The 11351-nt window shown below is 44.0% G+C and overlaps 1 protein-coding gene across 5 annotated transcripts in view; it reads right to left on the bottom strand.

Annotated features, from left to right (window-relative positions):
* BCL2L14 (BCL2 like 14) overlaps positions 341 to 11351 on the bottom strand; it is a 49835-nt gene continuing 38824 nt past the window's right edge. For 4 of the 5 annotated variants that reach the window (NM_001370269.1, NM_001370268.1, NM_138723.2 and 1 more), the window contains 3 exons: positions 9187 to 9257; positions 5106 to 5372; positions 341 to 1086 (listed from right to left, as the gene is read on the bottom strand). In NM_001370269.1, coding sequence (NP_001357198.1) covers positions 1048 to 1086; positions 5106 to 5372; positions 9187 to 9257 — 377 coding nt within the window. In that variant the 3' untranslated portion in view covers positions 341 to 1047. Of the gene's footprint in view, positions 1087 to 5105; positions 5526 to 9186; positions 9258 to 11351 lie in introns of all 5 variants that reach the window. The other variant, NM_030766.2, reaches the window with a different exon arrangement.

Raw genomic sequence — 11351 nt, 5'->3', positions numbered from 1 at the left:
TAAGCACCAGTTTTACATCAGGCCATATGCTGGGTACTACATATCCAGAAATTTGTAAGACCTTATAATTTGATAGTATTTTTTAAATTGTTTTGTGTCTTAAACACTTACTATTGAGCATGTTTCTAAAAAACCTTATACCGAACAGCCGCAATCTCAGGAAAGCAATCAGTGACTGCGTTGACAGGAGAGGAAATTGGCAGCTTAGCTGAGGGCAGCACACATTAGGGACCATAAGTGAAGACTTAACATTAAGTACCAAGAAGTGTTCTGAGCATTTTATGTAAATTAACTCATTTGATAATCAGAAGACTTATTACTTACTAATCAGAAGACACTCTTTTGACAGTAGTCTTTCTATGTATTTATTTTACCTGCTACCAATCATTGTACTACCACAAAGAATGAGGAAGTCCCAGGGACCTTGGGAAGAAGAGGTGTGGTCCCTGAGAAAAGGGTTGAGGGGGTGTTGGAGTAAAAATTTTGTACCAAATGGAAGTTTTTCAAAAAGGCACAGACAACAGTTACCTCTCCAAACAAATGGATGTAGCAGTAAACCTAAGAGTTTCTTTAGGCTGTTTACTAACGTGAATAGCAACATCTTCCTAGGTATTAGGCCACCCCAAGTGTAGTTTAAAAATAAATAGTACTAGAAACGGAAGTGGAAACACATGCACAGTTTATCTTTTCACTCTTGTGAGGTCAGCAGACATCTGTAACGCACTTTCCCTACAGCAGCTAACAAAGGCAGGATGATGGTATCTGTTCTGAACGTTTGAAACAACATCACCACTTATCTTTACAGATTTCCTCAGGTTCTCAATGGAGGGCCTGAAAAACATCACTGTCAAGGATGATGCTGCTACATTTTATGAGCTGGAGACGAACGAGACCTCTCCTGATGCCTCTCCAGTCACAGGAATAATGGTTTTGAAAACGTCAATGCTCCATCTGCCTTGTACGTTGTAATCTCCTGTAGTCCATCTGAGGCCAACGTGCACAGGACCACAGTAGACAAAGAGTATTCCTGATGACAAATCTGATATTTCAGTCTACTTCTTCATGTGATATCCCAAGTATTTTTTCCTAGAGGGGAAAAATAGGTTCTTAAAATTCCAAGTTAGATTTACTGTTGAAGTGAAAACATATGGCTGCTAACTCTGCTCTATCCCAGGCGTGACCCGAGGCTCAGGAGACCATGTTAGTTTGGGGGAGGGTTTGGAGAGGTGACTGGCATTCTTGGTATGCCTGCAAGGAAGACATCAGCTAAGGTCTTACGTTACACACCCAGAGCTAACAGGCTGGATCTTTCCTTGAAGATGGGAGGGCTTCAAGGGTGTATTTAAAATGTAATAAAAGTGGGTACTGAAAGGTCAATGACTATGAAGGTTACAACTCTCTCCTTTCAAAGTGCTACAGAATGGGTGAGGTTGCAGGACTGCAGGGTAACTATGTGAATGGTGCTCCACAGAGAGCACAAAGAGCCAAGGAGTAAATCAGAATCTCGTGGTAGCTTGTTTGGCATGCCTTGTAGATAGAGTTGCTATTCATTCATTTGATCGATTCATTCACCGTTCTACAAGTACTGGCTGAACATCTATGGTGTTATGTAGAGGAATGGGAGCTATGGGAGATTAAAGGAGCCATCATAAAAACATGATCTCACCCTTACAGATTTGCAGTTTAGTTGGGAAGATGAGATGTACTCATATGAAATGTGGAATACTGAGATAGGAACCCTGAGCTTCTGGAAAGCTTGTGCATGGGACTAGATTTCTCTCCTCCCACACTACTACAAGGACAGCAGAGAGAGCCATCGAGACACTTGGTGCCAATGGAAGTCCCAGGAGGCTTACTTCCCATTGTCTTCTTTTTTTCCCGTTAAGGGACTCTGAGCACACGCCCCAATCCACATGTCCTTCACACTTCCATAGCTCATATCAGCTCATAAATATTCTTTATCATCCTCCTTTATTTTTTTCTACCCTTTGGAAAAATTAGTCATCCCTCTCACATTCTTTGTCTCCCCTCTCCTAATTTCCACTGACATGCTCCAAATTAAACTTAACTGTGGCCAAGAGTTAAGATTAAGGTTTATGATAACTTGGATAAGAAATACATTTTGAATTGAAACTACAGATGTTAAAGAACTAGTGCCATCAATTTCTAAAGCCTTTGGAAATCCACTTTAGTATTCCTACTGAATAATTCATCTTTTTTTTTTTCTAATTGGAACTGTTTTTTTTCTCCAGTACCAGCAGCCAAATTAAAAAAATAATTGCATTCATTTCTCTTTCCTCTTTTTGATTACTAGAATTAGAACTGCTAGTTTTATAAAGATTGATTGAAATATAATTATGCTATAAAATTCACTAATTCAGTGAATTCGTATATTCACTTTTAGTATATTCACAGAGTTATGCAAACATCGCCTCTGATTTTAGGACATTATCATCACTCCAAAAATAAACTTCACATCCCTTAGCAATTATTCCCATTCTCTCACCCTCAGCTCCTAGCAACGAGTCTACTTTCTGTATCTATACATTTGCCTATTCTGGACACTTCATATACATGGAATCATACAGTATATGGCCTTTTTGCCTGACTTTCTCTCACTTAGCATAATGTTTTTAAGGTTCATCCATGTATCAATACTTGCTTTATTTTTATAGTGGAATAACATTCCATTGTGTGGCTATACTACATTTTCCTTATCCATTCATCATTCATCAGTTGATGGACATTTGGGTTGCTTCCACTTTTTGGCTAATGGAAGCTATGAACATTCATGTACAAATTTTTGTATGAAAATATGTCTTCAACTTTCTTGGGTATATATCCAGGAGTGGAACTGGTAACTTTATTTTTTTTAATTTTTTTTATTTTTTGAGACAGAGTCTCGCTCTCTCTCCCAGGCTGGAGTGCAGTGGCGCGATCTTGGCTCACTGCAAGCTCCGCCTCCCAGGTTTACACCATTCTCCTACCTCAGCCCCCCTGAGTAGCTGGGACTACAGGCACCTGCCACCATGCCCGGCTAATTTTTTTGTATTTTTAGTAGAGACGGGGTTTCACCGTGTTAGCCAGGATGGTCTCGATCTCCTGACCTCGTGATCCACCCGCCTCGGCCTCCCAAAGTGCTGGGATTACAGGCGTGAGCCACTGCGCCCGGCCCCTGGAATTGGTAACTTCATAGTTAACATTTTTGGGAACTCCCAAGTGGTTTTCCAAAGGGACTGCACCATTTTACAATCCAACCAGCAACATAAAAGGTTCCAATTTCTCCACATCCTCACCGACGTCAATGCTTTTCTTTTTCATTTTAGCCACTGTAGTGGATAGAGCTCAATGTTGCTTTGATTTGCATTTTCCTACTGTTGAAATGAAGATGTCAAACAAGCGTCTTTTCATGTGCTTTTAGCCATTTATATATATTCTTTGGAGAAATGTCTATTCAAATCCATTGCTCATTTGAAAATTGGGTTATTTGACATTTTATTGTTCAATTATAATAGTTCATTATGTATTTAGATATGTCTTTTATTAGAGATTTTATTTGCAAGTATTTTTCCCCATTCTGTGGGTTGTTTTTTTTTTTTTTTCACATTCTTGGTGGTGGTGTTCTTGGAAGCACAAAACAAAATCCAATGTATCTATTCTTTCTTTTGTTGCTTGTGCTTTTGGTGTAGAACCACTGCTTTTTAATAGCATATTTATGGTATTTTAGCTACATTAGTGGGTTAAACAGATTTTTGAGAGCTAGCCTGTGAACCCAATTGATAATTATAATTTCTCTGAGAAAATATATTAAGAGGACTAACAATGATTTTTAAAATGAATGCTTGAAACATAGTCAATTGGGAATTTGATCATCTTTTGTATATTATTATGGTGCAAACATGAAGTGCTGGAGATTAGAGACTGTGCAGCCTTTGAGCTGGAAGGGTCAGGAGAGGCTTTGGGGCAGATGAGGGCTCAAGGGGGTTGTTGGGGTGAAGGAATCCTGGAAAGAAGAATAGGTAGAACTAAAATAATGTTGAGGAACCTGTCCTCCTTTTAGAATAAGCTAAGGCAGCTTAAGTTTAGAATACTTAAGAATGGCCTTGGTTGTTCAGATCAGCCACTTAGGGTTATCAAACTTGGTGCAAAAGTGGAAAATAGAAAGGAACTCAATGTACAGAAACTGAAGACCGTGGCAGCCACTGAAGACCATGGCGGGCACTTCAGACCCTTGGGCAAGATCAGCTGCACTTTCCTTCCATCAGCAAAGAGACCAAGGCTGTGTGGAGGTCCCAGGGTCACTCCAGCCATGCCTAGAGCCGACTCAATCCTCCTGCTGGCCCCTGGACCATTCTAGTGGAAAGAGAACTAAGGATAATGTGGGATGAAGGTCTGTCCGCCTAGGAATGCCTAGGCCTGTTGAGAGTTAAAGTTGTGGGGTAGTACATTTTGACACGGTGGACCTTATGTAGCTGTTTGAACATGGCAGTCTTAAGGAGACCTGAGGAACTGGGGATGAGGGATGGGAGAGGGTTTGAGGCAAAAGGGAAAGAGGTCTGTTTTGACTGATACCAGGTAATTGAAAATAGATGAAAGTTTAACTGTTGGCTTTTTATTTGGTATCAAAATGTCACCCTCAAAATGGCTGGGTCAAAGCAGCAATGACAAAATGCCATGAACCCTGAGTCTCTGCATGAGGCTTAGTCTCCGTGACCTCTAAGTATCTGCAAGTGTGAGGAACTGTCTGCCTGCCCTTGTCTCCCTGCCAGACTTCCGTTGCCTGCAAAATTTGTGAAAACAGAAATTACGTCTATCTAAACATTTCTTATCTCAGCATCTCCTCATTTCCTGTTCCATCTGACCAGTCCCTTTCCATCCACACATACCCTGCATACCCTTGGAGAGCTCAGTAAATATTTATTGATGATGAAGATAATCACTAAAAATATGTTCCCATCAATGGGATCTATCTCTGGCCACTCAAGTGTCCTAAACTCATGAGAACTGCTTCATAGATGTGTTCCCTTCATTTAAAAAAAAAAAAAAAATCCATCCCATCTCTTCTGAGTTCTGAGAAAATTTGTTTTTAAATAGGATACGCTTACCCATCCACCGTGCTGCTGGATCCATGGCGAGAAGTTCTCTTTCAGGTACTTGGTGCCAAAGCCCAGGACCCTGTTCATCGGGTGGTTGTCAATAGCTGTGAGCTTGGCCGTGACGTCTATTACAAGGGCAGCCTTAAAGCCCTGAGCTTTGACCTCTGATTCTCCCCTGGGGTCCACACCCATTAGGACCTGGTCTGTGATGGTCTTGAAAACAGAGTAGGACAGCCCATCCTGGAAGTGGCCCATCAAAGCCTTATCTTTCTTCAGCTGTGTACAAAAGAATAAGCACTCAGTACAGTAGCTTGGCTCCACGAGGCAGACAGAAGTTCATTCTTTAGCTCAAATGCAGGCCATCAAACCATCCTGTGGAAAACCCTGGATGCTGGTGTCAACCAAGGGAATGGGGATGAAGGCAGTGTCCTGCAGAACCAGAATGGGCATGTACTGCTCGGTGAATTCATTTCATCAGCACAAATACATGTATAAAATGGAACAGTCAGTTCATTTGACATTTAACAAATATTTCCTGAGCACTTATAATGGGCAGGTAGTATGGATGACTGAGATGCGGGTCCTCACTCAAAGGGCTCACAGTCTAGTGGGAATTGCAGAAAAATGTGATGTCCTTTGCTAGAAGTAGTGTAAGGGACAGGATCTGAAGCTTAGGAATCACTGTCTTGGCTCAAACCCCTGGGTCCACCTCTTACTTAGCTATGCAATCTTGGGGAAATTAACCTCTCAGATTCAGTTTGTCATCTCTAAACTAGGATGGTGATAGTATTGATACTATAGGGTAATTGTTTTCTTTCTTTTTTTTTTTTTTAAGACAGGGTTTCACTCCCATTGCCCAGGCTGGAGTGCAGTGGTGTGGTCTCAGCTCACTGCAACCTCTGCCTCCTGGGCTCAAGTGATTCTCTTGCCTCAGCCTCCCAAGTAGATGGGACTACAGGTGCATGCCACCACACCTGGCTAATTTTTTTCTATTTTTTTGTAGAGATAGAGTTTCGCCATGTTGCCCACTCCTGGGCTTAAGCGATCCACCCACCTCAGCCTCCCCAAAGTGTTGGGATTACAGGCATGAGTCCCTGCACCCAGTCTTCATTTTCTTTTCTTTTCTTTCTTTCTTTTTTTTTTTTCTGAGATGGAGTCTCACTCTCTTGCCCAGACTGGAGTGCAGAGGCGCGATCTCAGCTCACTGCAACCTCCGCCTCCCAGGTTCAAGCAACTCTCCTGTCTCAGCCTCCCAAGTAGCTGGGATTACTGGCACACACCACCACACCCGGCTAATTTTTGTATTTTTAGTAGAGACAGGGTTTCATCATGTTGGTAAGGCTGGTCTTGAACTCCTAACCTTAGGTGATCCACCTGCCTCGGCCTCCCAAAGTGCTGGGATTACAGGTGTGGGCCACTGTGCCCGTACCCAGCCTTCATTTTCTTAAGAAACTTTTATTATTATTGTTTTTTAGGGACAAGGCTTACTATATTGCCCAGGCTGGTCTCAAACTCCTGGCCTCAAGCGATCCTCCCACCTCGGCCTCCCCAGGAGCTGGGATTACAAGTGTGAGCCACTGTGCTTGGCCCTATACTATAGGGTAGTTGAACACTTTATAGTGCTGGACATAGAAGAGGTGCTTTGGAAATGCGAGTCATTTTTCAGGATGCTACGGGAGCATGGAGGTCAGGGAAGACTCCCTTGCATGCAATGTTCACTTAAAAAAACTCCAATTCATTGATTTCTTTCCCATTATTCTACCCTATTGATTTTACCTCCCGGCCTTCCCTTGAACCTGGTATCTCTCTGCTTTACCTCCTTTGAACTACCACGCCTTTAAAACAAAATCAATGCTGCCTCTTCTGCTTTTGAAAAATCAGGGCTCATATCAAAAAGCTATATATCATCTTCATTTAAAGCATTCTTGCAATGTCTGTTAATATGCTGGTTGTCATGTGAAAACGGAAATTTCTGAGTGAGCAGGGACAAAATATTTATTTGAAAATCCTCTAGTTCTGTCCTAGAGGAATGATAAGCCAAGCGGGTTTTCAACAAATATTGTTTCTAAAAGGGATATCTGGGGGATGAGTCAGATGCGATTGGGAGATTTTGGCAGACCTGTCTTTTCCCTGAACCACGCCCACCCCCACCGTCCAGGCCCCGTCTGGGTTGTGACTCTGCAGGAGGCATGGCCAGCCTCCTCCATAACAGGGAACAGACTCCTCTTCATCAGTTTCCCAATGGAGGAGGCCAGGCTCAAAACCCTAGCAGGCAGCCAAGTGGGGACTGTGCCAGAACAGTAAAAGAATCAAACGCCACAAAGACAGGGCTTCCACTGGCACCTCCTCACCCCTCCCCTGCCTGTCCCTCTCGGGTGCACCTGGCTCTTTGGCCTCTCCTGGAGGTGTAGGATGGGCCTTCGGGCTGTGTGTGCTCTTGGGACCAGCGGCTCTGCAGATCCCCTGCAGCCACACACACGGCACTCTGCAGTGGGAGCTTGGCACCCGCCCAGCACAAGGTCACACCTACCATGTGTCTCTAGCAGAGCTCCCTACTGGGGAAGCATGTAAAGGAAATAACAACCAAGGCTTTGCCATAAGCAATGTAAAATGTCCAAACTCCTTAAGAGAGAGCACCAGGCAAAGTGAGGTTTTTGAAAGTGGTAATTTGTGGGGGTGAAAATGAAACCATCGCTCTTCATAACCTGAGATCGGTGGCCTTCGTCCCACCTCCAGCACCCCCACTCCGCCTTTCCCACCTCCCTGACCAATGACCACAAGTCCCTGCTTAGGGAAGCTGGGAAGGAGGTTGCCGTGAGAGCCACAGAAACTCTGAGTTGTAAAGAGCCCTTGAGGTTGTCTAAAGGACCCCTCGGAGTTCTGTGCTGAAATGCTAACTGGTATTGGCACCTACTTGCAATTCTTCCCGTGACAGGAAGATCATTCTCTCACAAGGCACCCGTTGACTCTCATGGGCAGCCTGGAATGCCTATTCTCCAGGAATGGAGGTTCATTCTTACCATAAGGAGAAATCAATCACCCCATACTAGGCATAATTTGTGTATCCATGACACTAGCTCTGGAGAAATGCAGGGGTGCCCTTAAATCATGATCCTGTTCCATCTCTTGCTTCCTCTGCACCCCTCTCCACCCTCTACTTGTGGTCCCAAAGCTCACACACCCCGTTCTCTTTTCTTTAACCTAATATCCCTGGTTTTCTCGCTGTTTCTCATTCTGTCCCATCTCCCAGGTGCTTCGCCCTCTGGGTCACCAGCCTCTGGGCACACTTTTGACAAAGCTATAGACAGGAGCTGTTTGTCTTCCTGCAGAACCTCCCATCCCCACCCCCAGGGTCTGACTCCCTCCCCACAGATTCTGGAAAAACAAGGGTCTATGTCTGCAAGCCAGCCCCTGATTGACAGATTCTAGAGACTACTCAGTCGTCTGTGGGTTATGGACCCAGGAGGCATAGAGAAGCCCTTTTGACTCTGTTGAAGGTTTGCTCACCAACTGTTTACCTGAAGGCAACTCTCACCCGTTCCTGATTGGAAAGATGGGTCTCAACTTCCAAATGGCAGGAAATCCATACATTCTCCCAGTAACACTAGCGCACCTCCCTGGCTGAACTGCTAAGAGAGCCCTTAAACAGGCAACAGTCCAGCAACTACAGGGGAAAAAGATTCCAGAAAGTATTCCAGCTTTGGAGCAACTGTGGGACACAGATATCCAGGCTGCAAAGCAAATGCGAGTCTAAACTTCAATGAGGATCAGTTACATGGGGAATGAGATTAATAATTCCATCCAGCAAATTTTAATTTACTGGTGTCTTTTCTTGCAATAACAAGTTTCTTTTTTAGTTTCCAAAAATTCCAAGGAGGCTCCAGAAGGTTTACTTATGTTTTCCAAAGTGACTCATTTTTGAGATTCTACCAGCATGAAGAATTTTGACTCCAAGGGAAATAAAATTTAGGACTAAGTAGAAACCAGGACTTAGAAAGGGAATAAGGTTGCAACCTGGAATACAATTCCATTCTCGTGTACTAGTGCATGGGCACAGAAATCAATCGCATCAGTTCAAGGTGTTCCATACCTTTCTTTCCAACTGATCTCCTGAATATTTCAGCAGCTCAACAATTTTGGCTAGTATTTGTTCTTCTTCATCTGTCGGGGAAAATTCCAGTTATTTCTTTTAAGAGAAGCAAAAAATAATCTTACATTTTTCCAGGGACAATGAATGCTTGTGGCTTGGTAAGGGCTGGAGGAAGAGGCATGCTAATTCTTTTTTTTTTTTTTATTTTTTATTTTTTAGACAGAGTTTTGCTCTTGTTGCCCAAGCTGTAGTGCAATGGTGCGATCTTGCCTCACTGCAACCTCTGCCTCCCAGGTTCAAGAGATTCTCATGCCTCAGTCTCCCAAGTAGCTGGGATTACAGGCGTGTGCCACCACGCCTGGCTAATTTTTTTGTATTTTTACTAGAAACCCAGGTTTCACCATGTTAGCCAGGCTGGTCTCAAACTCCTGACCTCAGGTGGTCCACCCACTTCGGCCTCCCAAAGTGCTGGAATTACAGGCATGAGCCACTGTGCCTGGCAAGAAGCATGTTCATTCTTATCAAGTAAATCTTACCTCGCCTCTTCTGCCCAGACACAAACCATACTAGGGATTTCTCCTACAGCCCCTTCCTTTCCTTCTTTCCCCTTCTTCCTTTGCTCAGTCCCCCAGCTCTCACTGTGAAATTCATCGCTGTAGTTACCTTAAGCTTGTTGTTGAAGACATCGGTTTCACAGCACAGGATTCTGTCTATGAAGATATTTAGGGGGAATATTCTTCTGGTTTTTGGATTTTTCCTCAGCAGATGGTGCTTTTATCTTATGGACACCATAAATCTCATATTTGATTATATTTCACTCTTTGGGTTAGTTGCTAGAAAGTATAGAGCCAAATTTGTGGCCCATATCTAAGAGAGTGGATAGTCTTGCTGGCCTACATTTTGGAAATTAACCTAATTCCCAAATCCGTCTTATTTTCCTGTTTTTGTTTTCTTTTTACAAAGATATCTTTCAGATTGATGGATTTTATCTGACTAAAATTTATTCTTTGTATGCTGGGTCTTGACAATAAGGTGGGATATAAATAAGTAAAATTAATAAATTCCCCTATGGCCAAGGCTAAAAGGGCAGATGGATAGGAACGTGGCCACGGTTGGTGTATGGTGTGTGTTGGGGGGACAGGGTGCAGTGGAGTATGTGAGTCTTGCTCTGTCACCCAGGCTGGAGTGCAGTGGCACGATCTTGGCTCACTGCAACCTCCACCTCCCAGGTTCAAGTGATTCTCCTGCCTCAGCCTCCCGAGTAGCTGGGACTACAGGTGTGTGCCACCACACCCGGCTAATTTTTTTGTATTTTTAGTAGAGATAGGGTTTTGCTATGTTGGCCAGGCTGGTCTTGAACTTCTGGCCTCAAGAGATCCGTCCGCCTCGGCCTCTCGAAGTGCTGGGATTACAGACGTAAGCCACCGTGCCCAGGCTTGGCAAAATAAACCTTCTTCTTCTACTTTTTTTTTTTTTTATTGAGATGGAGTTTCACTCTTGTCACCCAGGCTGGAGTGCAATGGCGTAATCTTGGCTCACTGCAACCTCAGCCTCCCCAGTTGAAGCGATTCTCCTGCCTCAGCCTCCCCAGTAGTTGGGATCATAGGCACCTGCCACTATGCCTGGCTAATTTTTTTGTATTTTTAGTAGAGAAGGGGTTTCACCATGTTGGCCAGGCTGGTCTTGAACGCCTGACCTCAGGCGATCCACCTGCCTTGGCCTCCCAAAGTGCTGGGATTACAGGCACGAGCCACCGCTCCCGGCCAAAATAAAAGTTCTACACTGAGTAAGATCTGTCTCGATATATTGGGTTAACACTCTCTTAGGGAAAGTTGCTGGCACAGCTGCCTGTATTTCTCCTGTGCACAGAGGATGAGGTCATCTTAGCTTTAGCTTGGTTTAGGGGTGGCATTCCATCTCCCAAGCCCATGTGGGATAGTAATAAAATGTCACACTGTTTTTTTTTAGCAGACTCAGAGGCCTCCTCCTCTCCTCCAGCTCTTCACACGGTCCCCTGAGCCTCTGTGGCAGCTGTGGCCCCTTTAGTGTGGCTACCGCTCTGCATCGGGGTTGGGAGACACGGATACCTTTGGAGGGAGAACCTTCACCTTGTTCTTTAGGGAGGTGCAAACCCAAGATCCACCTTGGCCTCACTGTTAGAGGAG

The sequence above is a fragment of the Homo sapiens genome, chromosome 12, assembly GCF_000001405.40.
Source record: "Homo sapiens chromosome 12, GRCh38.p14 Primary Assembly".
Classification (NCBI taxonomy): domain Eukaryota; kingdom Metazoa; phylum Chordata; class Mammalia; order Primates; family Hominidae; genus Homo; species Homo sapiens.
The sequence above is the reverse complement of the archived record's forward strand: the minus strand, read 5'-3'. Positions and strand labels throughout refer to the sequence as shown.